The 19,893-nt window shown below is 46.4% G+C and overlaps 2 protein-coding genes across 3 annotated transcripts in view, besides 2 other annotated features; both read left to right on the forward strand.

The window, feature by feature from the left end:
* Positions 1–19,893, forward strand: part of RANBP2 (RAN binding protein 2) — a 1,122,820-nt gene that overhangs the window by 492,760 nt on the left and 610,167 nt on the right. The gene's annotated exons all lie outside the window — the stretch shown is intronic.
* SH3RF3 (SH3 domain containing ring finger 3) overlaps positions 1–19,893 on the forward strand; it is a 375,430-nt gene that overhangs the window by 83,037 nt on the left and 272,500 nt on the right. The window lies entirely within an intron of this gene.
* Positions 1,883–1,932: an enhancer, noted in NCBI's record as "active region_16354". NCBI's record gives its function as "activates an Ori minimal core promoter by ATAC-STARR-seq in GM12878 lymphoblastoid cells {active_cell/tissue: GM12878}" and the evidence as "EXISTENCE:reporter gene assay evidence [ECO:0000049][PMID:35858748]".
* Positions 1,973–2,022: an enhancer, noted in NCBI's record as "active region_16355". NCBI's record gives its function as "activates an Ori minimal core promoter by ATAC-STARR-seq in GM12878 lymphoblastoid cells {active_cell/tissue: GM12878}" and the evidence as "EXISTENCE:reporter gene assay evidence [ECO:0000049][PMID:35858748]".

Genomic DNA, 19,893 nt, shown 5'->3' on the forward strand with positions numbered 1-19,893 from the left:
CCCTCCAACTCCATGAAATGAGGCTGCCCAGAAAAGGCTGAAGGAAGTCAGTTGGCTCGCTATGGAGGAGGGGCAGTTTTCAATTAGAGTCTGACCATGTTGTCGGGAAAGTAGGGGACTGCTTTGGCTGGTTATACGTGACTATAAATCCCAACTTGGACAGTATTTCATTTAGAATCCTGACAAGGAAAAACAATACAAAAGTCTCAAAATGAATTTGTTAGCAACCATCCTGACTGCATTGTGAGGCTTTCCGACAGCTCCAGGGAGGTTGGCTTGAGGTAGCTTTGCCCAGCTGGCTGGAGAAATGAGATCAAGTGGAGTGGCTTGAGGAGAAGTCGGCTGACCCACACATTTGACAGATCTTTTGGGTTCATTGATCTTTGTCAATGTTTCTTCTCCAGATAGCAACCTCCCTTTTCTTGTGTTAAATGGACTCACCTGATTGTAATCACAGAACTAATTGTTGTATAATAAAGACCCATTCTCTCTTTGCCCGTGGCCCAAAGCAGCCTTCTCCCCCACCCGTCAGTTCCCTCTGCCCCTGGTATTTCCCTGCTGGAGGAGTTAGACCTCCTGGTGAGCTGGTGTGGGGTAGGTGCCATACCAGGCTGGGCACTGGAAGAACAAGGGTGGATCAGACACAGTCTTGGCTTTATGGAACTTCTGTTGGGTGGGGGAGAAAGATGATTGGAATATAGTGGATGATGAAAAGACAGATGCTGCCCACACATCCCAGGGAAGCCCTGTGCTGAGCGGTGTGCAGGTGTCGGCAGCAGGGTAGGAGTGCACTCTGAGCAGGTGGAGGATGCAGTCCTGGGAAGGCTCGGAGGAATCTGAAAGCACAGTCAAGCAGTTGCATCACTTTGGGTGCTCTGGGCTGCAAGTCATGAACACCCAGTTTTTAAACTGGGTTTAAACCACATGGGCGCGGTTGCTTATTCTCTTCCTTGGCAAGAACTCTGGAAGTAGGTGGTCCCAGGGCTGCTTCTGAGCTCAGTGATGTACTCAGGACATGGCTCTTCCTCCCTCTTTGCCCTTCCACACCCTGGTGTGTCCATAGCATAAGGCTATGTGTACGCCAAACGCAGCCCGGGCATCTTGTCCTCCAGTGATAACTGCTGGGTGACAGGAGGGACGGACCAGGGCTCCTCAAACCTCCCTCATTTTATTAGGGAAGAAAGTGTTCCCAGAAGCATCCAGGACACTTCCCCTTATATCTCACTGGTGAGGACGTGGCCCCAGGATCTGCAGGGAGCCTGGAGAAGGGCATATCTGCCATCTGAAGCCTCTATCACCTAACAGGGGGCTGGGCTCTTAAAGCAAGGAAGATGGGGGCATTGGGTGGACACCAGCTGTGTCCAACACAGCAGGCACCTTTGAGCCATGTCAGGGCAGCAAACTGTGTGTCTACACAGGCATACTAAGGTCAGGTCAAGATGGCTTCATCTGTCACGTGTCAGAGCCTGGCCTTTATCCTTTACCTTGAGTGGGGAACGTGGGGATGGTTTTAAATAGGAACGTGACGTGGTCTCACTGTGGTGTGGTGTGATAGGGTGTGGTGTGGTGTGGTGGATGGGCTGGAAGGGCAGGGTTACAGCCCGTGGGTCGTTCTGAGGTCACTGAAGTAACCCAAGCCCATGAGGCAAAGCCTCCCGGGACACTGGTGTCAGAGTGTGGAGGAAGCTGACTCAGTGACTGCCCTCAGAGGCCTGGAGCAGTCCCTGCAAAAGACCTGTGGATTGGGTGGACGTGGCGGGCAGGGGAGGGAGGAGCTCTGAGACCAGCCCTGCAGTTCTGGTTGGAGGAAATGGAGGGCAGGCAGTGGTCACTGGACGGCGAGGAGGAAGGGGTGTTTCTGCCAATTGTCTTGGGTGTGCCGGGTGCCCCCATGCTGCGTCTAGGTAGGGGCCTCAGCAGGCTGTTGGAGGTGAGGCTAAGACGCAGACTGGAAGTGACTGGAAATAAAGCTGTCAGCATGTGGTTTATGGGTAAAACCACAAGAGATAAGATCACCCAAAGGGAGTGGCCCCAAAAGCTGGGGCAGAAGGGCTTGCCTTATTCTCCTGGGAGCATTGCTACCCTGGCAGAGGAGGGGCCTTGGGGCTGTGGGGGCAGCAGGAGGCCGGGGCCACGTGTGCTGTGTAGAGAGTTCTTGTGTAACAAACCTGCACACTGTGTACATGTACCCTAGAACTTAAAGTATTAAAAAAAAAGAGTCATAGAAAAGAGAAAAAAAAAAAAAGGAGTGGAGCCCAAGCCAGCCAGGCCCTGGCGTAGAAGACCTGTGAGACAAGGACTAAGAAATTTCATTGACATGAAACAAAAGGGGGATGATTGAAAGACAGCCAAACAGGAATCCTTTTTGAGGAGGACATCTGAACAGCCCTGGAAGAACGTCTCTGCCTGACACTCTTGCTGGCATCTGTGGGCTCTCTCTGTCCCGTGGACAGGACAATCAGAAGATGGGCTCCACTCCAGCTGCAACTCTGGTGACATTTAGCTGTGTGGCCTTGAGCCTGTGGCTTCACCCCTCTGGACTTGCGTCCTCACCCCTAAAGGGGAGCAAGATCTATGTATATTGGAGACTGAGTTCCAAGGGCTGCTGGGGGTGACGCGGACAGCAGTGTTTTGGGAGATCTGAGACTTGGAGGGTGGTAGGCACTGACACCACAGCCCAGGAGCTCTGCACCAGCTGTAGTGAGCTGAGGAGAGAAGGGGCACGTCGCTGAGCTCACACATCTTGGTGGAGGCAGAGTAAGATCTCAAATAATCTGAGAAAACAGCTTTTGTACTTCTAACCAGTAAAGCTGTCCATGGAAAAAATGAGCAGCGTTAAACCTTCAGTGGGACGACTAACCTCCATACACATCACAATTGACCGTGTTAAGCATCTACGTGTCTTTCTGTGTTTCTCTCTCTCTGAGCATTGCTCAATTATGGAATAAGAAGTCTGTAACCTCCCCTCATGGTCCCTGCCCCCTTACTAATGTCACGGGCAGAGGAAACTGGAGGGTAGGGGAGAAGGCCACTTTGGGTCATGGGTAAAGAGAGAATAAGTCTTCATTATACAATTGTTTTGTGATTAAAATCAGGAGAGTTGATTTAACACCAGAGAAGGGAGGGTGCATTCTGGAGAAGGTACGTTGATAAAGATCAGTGAACTCAGATGCTTTGTAAAATACTCAAGCTAGCTGACCCCTCCTCAAGCCACTTTACACCATCAGAACAGGGGTGGGAGGTAGCCGGGCCCTGATTTCAGCAGTGTGTACTCGGAGTGCACTCCTGCTTCTATGTGGGTTCCTCTCGGGAGAGCCCCTGTCTGATGTAGTTTTTTGCCTGTGATGAGTGCCTCTCTGGGTAGAGTTCTTCCTCGGTGACTCTGGATGCCAGGAAGGGTGCTGGGCTCTCACCTACGATTTTACTGAGAAGCTGCTGCTTCTGGAATCCTACACCCAGACCGTGTGACTCACCCTGTGAACTGCCACTGCTAGGACATCTAATGGGGGACATCGCTGCACAGTTGTACATCTAAGGATGGAGGGATGAGCTGGGATTTGCCCTGTGTTCAGGTTGCACGAGTTTGTTCCTTTTCTTTCTTCTGACATGGAAGCAGATGTTAGGAGTCCCGAGGAACCGGCATACAGAGTGGGGTCCACACAGAGCTGCGAATGTGGAACTGGGCTTCTACCGTGCCAGCGGCCACGTGAGCTGGGTGCCCATGTCCCATGGCTTGTTAACTTCCAAGTCTAGAATTTTCCCATGGCCATGACTGCACCCATTCATGGGGGAGCTGGGGCAGGAACAGGTAAGACAGCCAAGCAGTCAGTCTGAAGAACGGAGCCTGTCAGCTGCTGGAGGAGGAACCCGGGGGACATCGTGAGGTCTGGTTCCCAGCTCAGCATCGGTGGGGAGTGAGTCGGGAGAGAGAGTGAACTGGGATCCACTAGGCACCTGCCCATCATTGCATCTACTGTTGCCTCCCTGCCTGCTTCCAGGTCCTAACTACTTTCTCTCTGGCCAGCTCTAGCCCTGACTTAAAGGGAAGGGGATTAAAGGAAATAGCATTCTCAGCTTAGTGATCCCACCTTGAGGACAGTGTTTCCACACCTCACAGCATATCATTTATTTAGCTCCAAAACCACCCTCTGTGTTAAAACGGTGAGATCCACTTTGCAGAGGAGGAACCTGAGTCCAGGGGAGTTGGTCACTTGAGGGCGGTGCAGGGCTTATCCATGGAGAAGTGGCAGTGCACGCCCACCTGGCCGCAAAGCTTAAGTGCCTTGCTTCTGTGATACAGAAAGTCAGCAGAGAACACACAGCCCGAAGCCTGAGGTGGGGCAGAGCGTTTCCTGAAGGTGAGATGGCCAGCCATGCTCTGTAGGCTGATGGGTGCCCACCCTGCATGCTCACTGGAACCTCCTGCCCTCTCTAGCCAGTGCCCAAGGCAGGGTGAAACTGTGGGGTCACATGCTTGTCTGATCATTTGCTAGGACCTGATTTAAATTGGCATACAAATATATTTTTTTAAATTGTGGCAAAATATACATAACATAAAAATTTACCATTTTAGCCATTTGTAAGCAAACAGTTCAGTGGCATTAAGCACATTCTCATTGTTGTGAAACCATCACCACCATCCATCTTCAGAACTCTTTTCGTCTTCCCAAACCGAAATTCTGTCCCCATAAACACTTAACTCCCCATTCCTCCACCCTCCAGGCCCTGGCACCCACTCTTCTACTTTGTTTCTTTGAATTTGGCTGGATTTAAGTGGAATTACACAGTATTTATCCTTTTGTGTTGGCTTATTTCACTCAGCACAGTGTCCTCTAGGCTCATTCATGCTGCAGTGTGTGTCAGATCTCCTTCCTCTTTAAGGCTAAATCCTATTCCATCGTACGGTCATCCACATCTTGTTTATTCATTCGTCTGCTCATGGACACTTGGGGTTGTTTTCTGTAGACAATATTCTGGGAGCAATCACTCTTTTAATAAAATTCTGTCTTCCATTGAACCTTTTGGGTATCTTTTATTATGGTTTTTCAAATACAGAGTCCTTGGAGAACCTTGGTTGTTCTCTTTGTAGATACGTATTTGGAACTGCACTTACCATATCGTGAATGAGGCTACAGGTCAAATTCCCATCTGAACATCACCCTGATCTTGACCTTAGTCTGCTCACCAGATGGTTTGTCTCAGCTCCAGGTTTATGGCCACGATTGGTAAATAGACTCACTCCACATCTTAGTAATAGGAAGAAGTCATCCCGGGCTTCCCCAGACTTCAAGTATCTTTAGAATGTTGAGCTTCCGGCAGATTTTTCTCTACCAGGACCTACCACATCCTGCATGTGTTATAAACAGAATCAGTCCACCAGAATGAGAACAACCTGCCAGTGATGGGAATGAGATGAGGAAGCTCTCTCACCGGCTAGAAGACCAGATGTCCGAAGACCTTTTTGGGGGAGGGTGGGGTGTTGCCTAACACCAAATAACTATGGCCACTCAACTAATAGATCATTCTTCTCCCGCCTGCATCTGATTGCTGGCCTGGCTGTGGTGCTGGGCAGGCTGGACACCACCAGCTTCCCCCAGGCAGGGGAGCCCCCATCTCCCCCATACAGGGGATCTCTGTTGTGGCCTGGCACAAGGGAGCTGGCCCGGCTGTGGGTGGCCTTGCAAGACAGCTCAGCCAGGACCTTTCCCTCGAGGGCTCTGCCTTGCTCCTGCCGGTTGCCTTCCCACAGGTGTGCGGACTCGAGTTTGCTTGGATGGAACCAGGTGCCACAAGTGAAGCAAGTGGCAGACAGCTGCGGGGAGGGGTGCTGTGTTGTGGTAAGAGTAGTCAATAGAGGTTTTTGGAAACTGAGTAGAGACAGAAAACCATTGTCCTCTCCTTTTCTGTTCTATTAAAAAAAAAAAATCCTGCCTGGCCTCACCAGTTTCTGAGGCACGTGACAAAATTTAGTTTTCATCAGGGTCCTTCATGTGGCATGGCACAAAAAAAGACATTTCAGTATTTATTTGAAACTTTCTTGGCTCTCTTGCCCCCGTTTTTGTGGCTTAGAGGAAGGTGTGGATTTCTTCTACTTCACCAGAATTGTCCTTTCAATTCAAAATATGGGCTTCTGAGTTGCTGGATGAAATGTTCTAGAAACAGTCTTTGAGTGAAAATGTTATGCTTAACAAAACGAGCTTCAGTTTCCACTTCCTTTCTGCTATACAAACCTATGTGGTGCTGCTTATTAGGCAGAAATAGAAGAGCAGATGGAAGGGTGTGTGGTACGGATGCCTTCTGACCACAAAATCAAACAATAGACCTTTTCATCTCTCGGTCAAAATACAGCCTCATCACCTCTCCTCTCAGCCAAAAAGCAACACAGAAATGCACAGTTTGGGCATAGGAGCAGGCCCTGCCGGCCAGCAGGAGTGAGGGAGGGTGGTGTTTTCTTGCCCTTTCATCATGGCTGGACTTTGGCACTTTGTTCTCTAAGTGAAAACAAAAATAGCCACTGACTTGGGCTCTGACTATATTTGCTGTTTCTTTAATGCTTCTCTTCCTTGCTAAAAATACATTAGAGGTGATTAATCAAACACACACACAAACACACAAACCCACAATCAATGCAATTAAAAATATATAGGTGGAGAAAGACAAGAACCAGGTGAGAGCCCTGCCTTCCCTGCACGGACCAGGCTTGTAGAGGGGTGTGTCTCTCTTCCTCACTGTTTCTGTTCTGGGATTATGCCTGTTATGGGCACTGACCTCTCTTTCTTGGCTGCAGTGCCATTTGGGGGCTCAGTCCTCATTTAGCTGACCTTAATTTGGATGGTTCCCAACTTTCCATCAACTGGCATTGCACATGACTGGCTTTGTGGAGTTCCACCTCTCTCGCTCACACCCCATTCACAATGAGGATAGAGGGGCTACCGCCTGGAGCATGGGAGGATCCTGAACTTGGGAGCTTCCATGAGAGAATGTATTTGAGTTGTTCTCAGACTACCGTTTTTGCTCAGCACTTTTTTGGGGGGCTCAGTATTATTTCCAAAACATTTTGTGTAATTACATAAGGTTTCTACTTCTTTAATTTGCCAAGTAAAATGTTAAAAAATTTTCACCATCACTTAATAAAACAAGGAACATTTTAGTATTGCAAAAGGAGGAAGAACAGCCATTTTTATCCGACATAGAATTGGAAGCTCTAGACAGAGAAATTAGGGAAGGAAAATAAATTATTGGCTTCCAAATTGGAAAAAAAAAAGTAAAATTATCTCTGTTTGCAGATGATACGATCTTATGCATAGAAAACTCTAAGGAGTTCTCAGAGTTTTCAGAGCTAGTAAATGAATTCGGCAAAGTTGCAAAATATAAAATTAAAGCTCACAGTTCAGTTGTATTTCTATAGACTTGAACAATCCGAAAAGGAAATAAAAAATTCAATTTGCAATCTCATCAAAAAGAATAAAATACTTGGGAATAAACTTGACCAAAGAGGTGAAAGATTGGCACACTGAAAACTACAACATGTTTTTGATACAAATAAGTGGAAATGCATCTCTTGTTCATGGATTGGAAGACTTAATATTGTTGAGATGACACTACTACTCAAAGTGATCTACAGATTCAGGGCAATCTCTATCAAAACCCCAATGGCGTTTTTTAGAGAAATAGTAAAAAAGCACTCTAAAATTTATATGGAATCTCAAGGGACCCCAAATAACCAAAACAATCTTGAAAAGGAGGAGCAAAGTTGGAAGACTCACACTTCCTGATTTCAAAATGTACTATAAGCAATAGTAATCAAAACTATGTTATTAGCATAAGGGATAGATATATAAACCAATGGAATACAACAGAGATCCCAGAAACAAACTGTCACATGTATGGTCCATTGGTTTTTCAACAAAGAAGCCAAGATCAGTCAATGAGGAATGGGCAGCCTTTTTAACAAATGGTGCTGGGAAAACTGGATATTCTTATGCAAAACAATGAAGTCAGACCTTTATCTAACATGGTCTAGAAAATTAACTCAAAATGGGTTAAAGATCTCAACATAAGAGCTAAAATTATAAAACTGTTATAAGAATACACAGGTAAAAACCTTCATGGCCTGGAATTAGGCAATGATTTCTTGAGTGTGACACCAAAAGCACAGGCAATACAAGAAAAAAATACATAATTTGGATTTCATCAAAACGCAAAAGTTTTGTGCTTCAAAGGATACCATCAAGAGAGTGAAAAGATAACCTAAAGAATGGGAGAAAATATTTGCAAATCATTGTTTAGTAAATAATGAATATCTGGAATATATAAAGAACTTCTATAACTCAATAATTTAAAAAACCCAATTCAAAAATGGGTCAAGGTTTTCAGTAAACATTTTCCCAAAGATATACAAATGGCCAGTAAGCACATGAAAAGATGCTTCATGTCATTTGTTACTAGAGGAATGCAAATCAGAACCACAGTGAGAAACCATTCCCACCTGTTAGAAGGGGCATTTTCCAAAAAGTAGAAGATAATAAGGGTTAGGATGTGGAGAAATTGTTATGCTAGTGGGCATATAAAATGGTACAGCTGCTGTGCAAAACAGTGTGAAAGGAGTTTGAACATGCAATTACTGTATAATTTGAACACAGAATTAACTATATAATCCAGCAGTTCTATTCCTAGGCTTATACCCAAATGAATTGTGAACCGGGACTGAAACAGATATGTGTACACCAATGTTCATAATTGCATTATTCATAATAGCCAAATGTCCACTGACAGATGACAGGGTAAACAAAATGTGGTATGTATACACAGTTGAGGAATATTCAGCCTTAGAAAGAAATGAAGTTATGACACGTGCTGCATGGATGAACTTTGAAGTCATTATGCTGAGTGAAATAAGTGAGGTGCATACAAGTCATGCACAGAGGAACCATGGACCTGGAATAAAAAGTCAGTCTTCCACATCCTAGTCAGCCTCTCTTAATTTTTTTCTTTTCAATAACAGCCATTCTAACTGGGTGGAGGTGATATTTTATTGTGGTTTTAATGTGCATCTTCCTGGCTGGGCCAGGTGACTCACGGCTGTAATCCCAGCATTTTGGGAGGCTGAGACAGGCAGATCACTTGAGCTCAGGCGTTTGAGACCAGCCTGGCCAATATGGCAAAACCCTGTCTCTACTAAAAATACAAAAATTAGCCAAGTGTGGTGGTGCACGCCTGTAATCCCAGCTACTCGGGAGGCTGAGGCAGAGAATTGCTTGAACCTGGGAGGCAGAGGCTGCGGTAAGCCGCGATCGCGCCAGTGCACTCCAGCCTGGGTGACAGGGTGAGACTCCATCTCAAAAAAAAAAAAAAAAAAAAAGTGTGCATCTTCCTGATGGTTAGTAATGTTGAGCATTTTTTCATAAACCTGTTGGCCATTTCTGTGTCTTTTGAGAAATGTCTCTTCCTTTCCTTCCCCAATTTTTAATGGGATTAAGGACGTGGAGAAAAGGGAACTCACATATACTATTGGTGGGAACATAAATAAGGCAGCCACTATGGAAACCAGTAGGAAAGTTTCTCAGAAAACGAAAACTAGAACTATCATATGATCCAACAATCCCACTGCTGGGTATTTATCCAAAGGAAAAGAAATCAGTGTATCAAAGGGATACCTGCACCCCTGCATTTATTGCAGCACTAGTCACAATAGCAAAGATGTGAATCAGCCCAAGTGTCCATCAACTGATGAATGGATTAAAAAAAAAAAACACAGGGGATACTATTCAGCCTTTCAAAAGAATGAAATCATGTCATTTGCAGCAACATGGATGAAACTGCAGGTGGTTATGGTAAATGAAACAAGCCAGGCACAGAAAGGCAAATATTGGACGATCTCACTCATATGTGGAAGCTAAAAAAGGTGCTCGCATGAAGACAGAGTAGAGTGCCAGATGCCAGTGTCTGGAAAGGATGTGTTGGTGGTAGGGAGGTAAAGAAAGGTTGGTTAAGGGTATAAACATACAGTCAGAAGGAATGAATTCTCGTGTTTGATAGTACAGCAGGGTGATTAGTTAACAACAATTTATTGTATATTTTACAATAGCTAAAAGAGATTTGAATATGTCCCAACACAAAGAAATGATAAAGATTTGAGGTGATGGATATGCTAGTTACCCTGATTTGATCATTACACATTGTATGTATCAAAATATTATATGTACCCCATAAATATGTACAATTATTATGTATCAGTAAAAGTTCCTCCAAAAAAATAAAAAGAGTCCATCCTTCAGCAGAGGGAGTGCATTGTTGGAGGGGCAAGGGTGAGAGGCCAGGAGAGCAGGCCCTGGGCTTAGCCTCCAGCATCCACAGCACGCGTGTGCCCTGGACTGGGCCTAGGAAGGGTGGTGCCCTGGTGGCCTATGCTGGCCCTGTGGAGCCTGGCCAGGCCTTCCCTGTACCTCCTCCCTAAAACCCTGGGATGGCGTGGGCTCCTTTCTTCTACCACTGACATCCAGTGTTTCTGTTAAATTAGGTGGTCTGCCTAAGGACTTTTTGGTTTGCTAAAAGACAAAACAAAACACAGGAAATAAAGCACATTTTCCAGTTCTCAGCCAGCAGCGCAGGTCCTCTGTGACCACATGGCATCCCCAAGGTGTCCGCGTGTATCCCACATGGGGACTCAGCCAGCTGTGAGAGGGATGGACCTGCCCCTGCCTGGGGCTACGGTCCCCATACTCTCCCATCAACAGGGTCTGTACTCACTGCACCCTTCAGGGTGAAGAGGGCACTGTCCGCCCCTGTGGCCATCAGATGGTGTGATCCCACCTCTTGGCAGAGGCTGGCACCACGCCCTGATGCTTCTCCATCCCAGACAGGGGGAAGCAGGTGGTTGGAGAGAGGTGGGAGGATGAGGTTGCCACCTTCTCCTGAAACCAGCATGGGTGCTGCTGCCACAGATCATGAATGCTTTGTCCCCCTTTGCTGCCGTCCCATGCAGTCAAGTGCCCTGATAACCAGGAGTTGGCTGTTACCAGATCCAGAGCCCTCAGAGGCTGCGTGAGCACCAGCCACGTGAGCAGCCTACCTGGTGTGTTTCCCAGAGCCGACAGAGCCAAGAGGGGCGTTCTGAAGCCCGAAGAAGCAGGAGTGGCCACTAGGAGCTGCCGTGTGCTCGCTGTGATGGAGTTGCCGAAGTGCTTTGATTCCTCGGTTATTTCAGGCATTGTCCCCCTTTGGGAGTGGGCATGGCCTGCCCATGTCAGTCCTAGGTCAGTGGCTGGAAATGAGCAGAATGGAAGCGTAGGAAGGGCTTGAGGGGTGTGGGCACATGCTTCAGCTGCGGGCTCCATTCAAGCATCGGTGGAGGGCAGTAGCACCATGCAGACAACTGGAGCTCCTTAGTGCTCCCTGGGTAGCCCTGCACCTCTCCATGGCTCTCCCCTGAATTCTGCCCCCCACGTGATGCTGCCCCAACGTGGAGATCCGGGATGTGTCGTTGTCTTTCCTTGCAGAGCCGTGGAGGACAGCCTCTGAGCCATCCCTGCTAGTCTCTGCTCCTGGCACATGAAAGTGTTCAATACATGTTTGTGCAGAAAGTGAAATTAAAATCTGTCCACTTGGTAGCTGGATGTGGTGGCACATGTCTGTTGTCCCAGCTACTCCGGAGGCTGAGGTAGGAGGATCAGATCACTTGAGCCTGGGGGGTGTGGGTTGCAGTGAGCCATGATTGTGCCACTGCACTCCAGCCTAGGTGACAGAGTGAGACTCCGTCTCAAAAACAAATTCAATCAATAAAATCTGTCCACATGGCTCATTAATGGATAGAATGTTAAGAGCTGGAATAGCTTCAGGGTTTACCTAGCCTCGCCCCTTGTTTTACACAAAAAGAAACTGAGGCCTGGTCTCCCACTTCTGCCCCTGCTTGGCAGGCCTAGAGAGTGTGTGTGCATGTGCAAATGGAGGGGGTGTGGGCATTGGGAGTTTAAACTTGGCTTGAATAGCTAATCAGATCTATCAAAATTAGGTTTTTACCAAGCATAGTAAAATAAGACTTGTTTGGTATTATTAGTGATGCTAAAACTATATGTCACATATTGGACAAATAAGCACATTTTCAGATACGCATGTGGGATTTTGATTGCATGCTGGGTTTAGTCCAAGATTAAATCTGCATTTTGTTCTGATGTAAAAGGGACTTGAAGCAGTTTTTGAGGTCATGTGCATAGCAGCAGTGATGGAAATGTCCTGTGTCTGCTCTGTTCAGTACAGTAGCGACCAGCCACAGGTGACTACTGAGCTCATGAATGTGGCCGGCGTGGCTCAGGAAGTGGCTTTTAAAATTTCATTTTGCCAGGCGCAGTGGCTCACACCTGTAATCCCGGCACTTTGGAAGGCCAAGGCGGGCAGATCACTTGAGGTCAGGAGTTCAAGACCAACCTAGCTAACATGGTGAAACCCCGTCTCTACTAAAATACAAAAATTAGCCCAGCATGGTGGTGGGCACCTGTAATCCCAGCTACTTGGGAGGCTGAGGCATTAGAATCGCTTGAAACCTGGAGAGGGAGGTTGCAGTGGGCTGAGATCATGCCACTGCAGTCCAGCCTGGGTGACAGAGCAAGACTCTGTCTCAAAAAAATTTTTTTTCATTTAATTCTAGTCAATTAAAACTGAAATTTAAATAATTACCTGTGGCTAGTGGCTACTCTAATGGACAGCTAGAGAACTGCAGCATAACCTTATCTTTTTAAAAATCTTATTTTAAAAAGAATTTTGTGGGTTTGAAGGAAAGATTGTCTGGAAGAAGGAAGTGACTGAGACATAGCTTTTTGACACCTGGCCTGGAGCCTTTTCGTTTAGACCAACCAACTAAGCTGGATGACACCAGCACAGTCCCTTAAATTCCCTGGCCTCAGTTTCCTCTTGTGTAAAATGAGGTTCTATGGCTTCTGCTAGTTCTGAGATTCTATCTTGCCCCATTCTTGGCAACTGGGATATGAAGAGCTCTATTTTAATAACGATAATAATAAAGAAGGCTTATTAAACACTGGGGATCCGGCTGAATAGTCCTCAAACCATTGTACTCAGCTGGGTGGAGAGACCTGCAAGTAACCAAGGGAAGTTTCAAAATGTGGGTTTCCGGGCTCCGCTTGGACCCATTTCACAGGGACCCGAAATCTGCACGTTAACAGGTTTCACAACGATTCTCACACAAACAACTCCCTTTAAAGATACAGGCCAGGCCGACTCCCCACTGGGGACTGGGTGGGCTGACCCACCTGGCCCACTCACACTCACCATGTGGAGTTTTCTCCTGAGAGTTAGGCCAGGGAATGATTTTTAATGTGGGATGCTCCACGTTCCTCTCTGGGACTTCCCATTTGCAATGTCTTAAGTCACTTTCATGTTTGAATTTAGAAAATCAAAAGATGACCGTCTTGTTTCCTGTAAATATCAGGAACAGAGAGGAGAGCAGGTGGTGTGTTTGTCCTAGACTTAAATTTTAAGATTTATTTTTATAAGTTAGTTTCAAGTTTGCTTTCTTTCGTTCTTAAAATTGAGATAGGGTCTCGCTCTGTTGCCCGGGCTGCACTGCAGAAGTGCGATCCCGGCTCACTGTAGCCTTGACCTCCTGGGATGAAGTGATCCTCCCCTCTCAGCCTCCCGAGTAGCTGGGACTATAGTCGCTTTCCACCATGCCAGCTAAAAGTTTGCTTTCAAAGAGTCCCTATTCTAATCTGTTGTTGGAGCTCTCCACAATGAATCACCAAAATACCATTTTAATATTAGAGTAGTATTTTGTCAGGAAAAAATAGGCCTGACCCTGAACAACTTATCTGCATAGCTGTAATATTGTCATTTTTGACTCAGGCTAAATCACTTGTTAATTTTAGGAGGAAATGTCAGAGGAGGTTGTCCCCAAATAGCAGTTATTATCTGTTTCCCAGGTTTATGAACCCAGCTCACAGCTCTGCTTGTCAACATCTGCAGAAGGAACTTAGAGAAAGACTGGCTCCTTTTACATTTTTTTTGTTACAATAGTTAATGTAAGAGTAGTTATGTAAACAGATCAATAAGCTCATTTTGAACATGACCCTGCCAACTGTTTCAAAGCTAAAGTCACATTGACTCAGGAAGGTCAGCTGTTTCATCTACAGTGTCTGTGGCCCATGGAGGAACTGGAGCCATGTGAGGTCTAATGACACACGTGGCCCATGTGCAGTCCTCATCGTTAAGTAAGTACCCTGCTGACCTCTTAAGACATAAACCAAAAATAAACTGTAGCAACCACTTCTTTTTAAGTCCCTTTAAAGTTTAGATTTTTACTGTTCTTAGGGTGACTTTGTGGCTCATCACTCTTAGCTTTTTCTCATTGCTTCTTGAATCGCTCCCCTTTCCTGAGTGTTTCTTGGTCTGCCATCTTGACTTCTCCCGGGGCCATGCATCTGCTCCCTTTGTGGCTCCGTTTGCTCCTAAGTCTTTGCAGGATCTCCACGCAGAAGGCGTGGTGCTGGATCTTTAGGGGACATTCAGATATAGACATGCTTTGTGCCATTAAGGAACTTGTGGCTTAGTAAGAAGAACAGCTGGTTACAGAAATGAACCAGGACCCCTACAGCTGCAGGAGAGAAACTAACTGGAATCAGTCAAAACACAGAGAGAAGCAAAGCCGTGTGGTGGCCCAGATAACCAAGGGTCCTGAGGTAGATGCATCCACCATGGCCGGGTTCATGGCTCAGATGATGCCATCAGGACTTGGTCTCTTTCTAGCTCTGGGTCCCACCAAGCTTTTCCATGGTGGCCTAGCAGCTCCACTGTCCTCTTCATAGGTGCAAGAGGGCTTTAGGGGTCTTTGTCATGTTTCTGGGGTCTTTGCTGGAACATCTGCAGAACTCACGAGATTCACTCCGGCTGAGTGAACTGATGGCAGTGGCAGTGGTTGGCTCAGACTTAGGGTGTGTGTTTTCTCCTGAAATTGAGAGGATCCCACCCAGGCCTCAGGGGCTGAAAGTTGGGGGAAGGAGCTAAGAGAAAATTGGTGCCTGTAGCTAGAAGAAGCTCTGTGAATGTCAGGCACACAAAGCTACACGTCCATGCCAGAAAGTCACAATACTAAGGGACTTCTCAAGTCCTGGTTCTCAGGTCCTTAGGGGTCCTGGTTCATTTCTGTAACCAGCTGTTCTTCTTACTAAGCCACAAGTTCTCACAGTCAAGTAAAAACCAAATGCGACTGGAGTTATGAGGATGGTGACATTGAAGCTATCAGGGACTGCTTCATGTTGGGTGCTTTGTGTGGGCTCCCGGGTCTGCCTGGGCCCTGCCCTTCATCCCTGTCTGCTTCTCTGGGAGATCCCTGGCTCTTGGGATTGTCTGTGTGTGGGAGATTCCCCTGGATCTGGCCTGGCCATGCCCACTGGCTTCATGGGGTACACGGCAGCTCCCCTGCTTCTGTGCTGTGCTCCCTGCAGGTCACAGGATCCACTTCTCTGCAAGTGCCAGAATCTTGTGCAGTCCTTTCGGGTCCAACGCAAGTTCTTTTTCTGGGTAGGTCACCCCCCAGCCAACTGGAGTCAACACTTCCTTTCCCGAATTCCCGCTCACTCTGGCAATCTCCCTTGGCCCTTCGGTCGCTCCGCCTTTCATCGGTTTGTCTGCAACTGCAGTTCCCTGTAGGCTTCATGATGGTGACCGTCATTCCTGATGTTTCCCAAACAAACGTGCATTGGTGCTTTTCTGGCTCAAGGGGCATGGGATTTACATTTGCTGTGGGTAGGAAAGAGTGGGGAATAGTTCAGTGTTTTCCTTTATTTGTAGGAAAGTGATGCCCAGACACAGGTACGAGTGTCTGGTTTGGTACTTTTACTCTCTCTTGACACATACAGGCAATCTCTAATGGCTGTGTTTTCATGCTGCAAATGATGTACTTGCAACGTTTGGCAAACATGGTGCTACTTGCTTATAATACTGTCAGAAATTCAATCGGCAGCCCTCCTAGTCCCCAGGAATGTGCTTGGTGGCAGGTGTTAGCAGTGCGTGTCTATCCCCCAAAGGCTTTTATTGTCTCATTAATGAGCAGGTGCAATAAATGTGTTGTAGACAGCATCTCTGTTAGTCTGAAGATGTTTGGGATGTGTGTTCTATTTCCACATGTCACCCTGTAGAGGAAAACCAACTGTTTTCCTTGATACCCACAATGCACCCAGAACACTTCTGATACCAGATGTGTGTGGGGTTTTGCCACACCAAGCAATTCTCCAGTTGTTTGCAGATGCCAACTGGGTATTCAGTTCAGTTCTGACCCCTTCCATGTGGAGCTAGTATGGACCCTGCAGGTTAAGGGCTCAATCTCATCAGGCTGCCTTCACTTCAGAGGCCAGTTGCAAGAGGTGTCTTCAGGTTACCTGGAACTTCTGTGTGGCGTGGCTGCAAATCTGGTTTATTATATTAGTGGAGGGCATGATAAAAGATACAGGCAAGCAGCCAGATGGAGAGGTACATAGGGCGAGGTCTGGAAGGGTCCTGAGCACAGGGGCTTCCGTCTCTGTGGAGTTAGATGTACCCTCTCCAGGTGGGTGGATGCATCCACCAGCCAGAATCTCCCCAAACTCCAACTTGTAGGGATTTTTATGGAGGCTTCTTCACACAGGCATGATTGGTTATCAACACAATATCCAGCCCCTCTGCCCTCTTTGGAGGATGGGGTATGGAGCTGAAAACTCCAAGTTTCTGGTCATGGCTAGGTCTTTCTGGTGACCAGCCTTCATCCAGGAGCCACCAGAGTCACTTCATCAGCACAGAAAAAAGGTTTCCATCACCCAGCAAATACCAAGGGATTAGGAGCTCTGTGTTGGGAACCTCAATCAAAGACCAAATATCAGAACAAAAGATACTCCTAGCCCCGCTATCACTCAGAAAATTACCAGGGATTTAGGAGCTCTGTGCCAGGAACCAGGGACAAAGACCAAATATGTATTTTTATTATGTCACACAGCTGTTCCCTTCCCCCTTTTTAGTACACTTCTTATTTGGAGCAGTGGTGAGTAGAGTATGAGGAATTCTGACATACCCACACCCCACTTCCTCTGTTGTTAACACCTTACATTAGCATGGTACTTTTCATACATTAACATGATAGTTCTCCATTTGCAAAGCTGTAGTTTTTTCCTGCCATCCTTTTTCTGTCCCAGGATCCCATACTGCCTCACAGCTGTCATGTCTCCATGGACTCCTCTGGCTATGACAGCTTCTCAGACTGGTCCTGGGGTGGTCACGGCAGGTGGATAGTGGCCTGGAGCTTGAGAGCCCGATACGGGAGGGATTTGGGATGTGGGCTCTGAATTGGTGGGTTTGCATTAAAAAGGCACACTCATGAGCAAGTTGTTCACTATCTCTAGGAATTGGCAGCCCCTCCAGGGTCAGGAAGGCCCCAGATGTGAAAGCATCAGCATACAGAAAATAAGACATGGTGACTACATCTAGGTACCTCGTATAACTGGAATCATAGAATATTTGTCCTTTGTGTCTGGCATGTCACTTAACATCATCCAGGCTCATCCATGTTTTGGTATGTGTTTAGATTTTTTTTCTTTTCTTTTTCTTTCTTTTTTTTTTTTTTTTGAGGCGGAGTCTCGCTCTGTTGCCCAGGCTGGAGTGCAGTGGCGCAATCTTGGCTCACTGCAAGCTCTGCCTCCTGGGTTCACGCCATTCTCCTGCCTCAGCCTCCCAAGTAGCTGGGACTACAGGCGCACGCCAGTATGCCCGGCTAATTTTTTGTATATTTAGTAGAGACAGGGTTTCACCATGTTAGCCAGGATGGTCTCGATCTCTTGACTTCGTGATCCGCCCGCCTCAGCCTCCCAAAGTGCTGGGATTACAGGTGCGAGCCACCGCACCTGGCCGATTTTTTTTTTCTTCTTAAGGCAGACTAATATTCCGTCGTATGGATATACTATATATTGTTTATCCATTCAAATACGGACATTCCTCAACTTGGGATGGTTTGACTTTAGAGTTTTTGACTTTATGATGGTGCAAAAGCCATATACTTCCAGTAGAAATCTGTAACCCTGGCCAGGCATAGTGCCTCACGCCTGTAAACCCAGCACTTCCGAGAGGCCAAGGTGGGGGGCTCTCTTGAGGCCAGGAGTTTGAGACCAGCCTGGCCAACATGGTGAAACCCCATCTTTACTAAAAAAAATGGAAAAATTAGCTGGGCATGATGGTGCATGCCTGTTATCCCAGTTACTCGGGGGGCTGAGGCAGGAGAATTGCTTGAACCTAGTAGGTAGAGGTTGAAGTGAGCTGAGATAGTACCACTGCACTCCAGCCTGGGCAACAGAGAGAGATCATCTTAAAAAATAAAAATAGGAAAGAAAAGAAACTGTAACCCCATTGTAAGTCAGTCTTCCACTTATGGTGGGGTTATGTCCTGATAAACCCATTGTAATGTCAGAAAATCGTAAGTCGGGGATCATCAGCTATGTCACCAGCATTAAGTACATTTTTTAACTTATGATATTGTTGACTTAAAATGGGTTTGTCTGGACATGACCCTATCATAAGTGCTGGAGCATCTGTGTTTGTTTCTAGAGAAGATAAAAAATTCCACTTCATTTCTAAATCCCCTAGGAGTTCACTGGCCAATAGGACTCCCTTTGGGGGCTTTGGGGGCTTCTCCCATCTCGGCTAAGGGACAGCTCAAACAGGAAGGCAGGATAGGTCAAACTCATTTGCAGTAGGAGTTGGGTTGAATTGTGTAAGACAAAAGTACACTTTGTTATGTGTGATTAATTGTCACAGTTCCTGAATGTCAGCACGGACAGAGCAGCAGAGTTGGCTTCTGGGACACAGTTTCCATCTGCTGTCCCTGCCTGGAAGGAGGCTTAGGTGGCTTGCCTAGCATGGACTTAGTGACCCCATCTCCTCTCCTCCCGGAGCCAGGCCAGAGCGGCTTTGCCGAAGTCTCGGATGAACTGTCAGGCTGGAGCAGTTCTTCATCCAGGGGCTGTTTCCTGCTCTAATTACTGCTCTTTCTTCTACAGCTGAGAGGAATTGGTGGGTGGATGTGGGAGAGGTGAGCTAATGCGATGACATTTTGACAAGTGTGTTACAATAAAAAATAACTCCCCTGGGAGAAGGTTAATGCAGTTATCACCACGTTCATGTTGGCAGCCTTAGATCTGTGCCTGGTTGGGGCAGGATGCTTTGCTTTTCTCGTGCAGACCAAGTCTCACCCACATTCTAATGGCTAGTGCTTAAATTTTTTTCCAGAAACATCTATGAAGAATAAATATCGTGCTCTGTTCATAGATTTTTCCACTTGGGCTTTTTGCTGTATTTCTTTATTCCATGATAAGCTACTTCTTTCCACCTACTAGTTAAGTAGGCTGCTTCCCTCTGCTCTCAGATGACATGTGGCTGAGGACTTCATACTAACATTAGCCTAAGTAAAAATATAATTAGTATTTTTAGTCTGCTTCCAAATTAAATCTTACCGTGCATGCTAAAAGAGACTACAGAGCATTTGGGATTTATTTGTTGTGTTGGATCTTCTATTCCTTGTTCTCCTCTTATTCATTTTTAGTAATGTAGAATTTACTCTAGCTGGATTAGATATTTGCCATTAAGAAAAACAGCTTTATTGAGATGTAATTCACATGCCATGTAATTTGCCCTTTTAAAGTGTTCAACCTAGAGGCTTGCAGTATATTCACAGAGTTGTGTCCATCACCACAATACATTGTAGAATATTTTATCCTTTTTAGTACTGATGTGTATGAATCTGCCACGTTTTATTTATCCGTTCATTAGATGATGGACATTTGGGTTGTTTTCACTTTGGGGCTATTATGAACAATGCCGCTACAAGTATTTATGTGTAAGTGTCTGTTTGGTCTTAAGTTACGTTTC

Source organism: Homo sapiens, chromosome 2 (genome assembly GCF_000001405.40).
Source record: "Homo sapiens chromosome 2, GRCh38.p14 Primary Assembly".
Classification (NCBI taxonomy): Eukaryota; Metazoa; Chordata; class Mammalia; order Primates; family Hominidae; genus Homo; species Homo sapiens.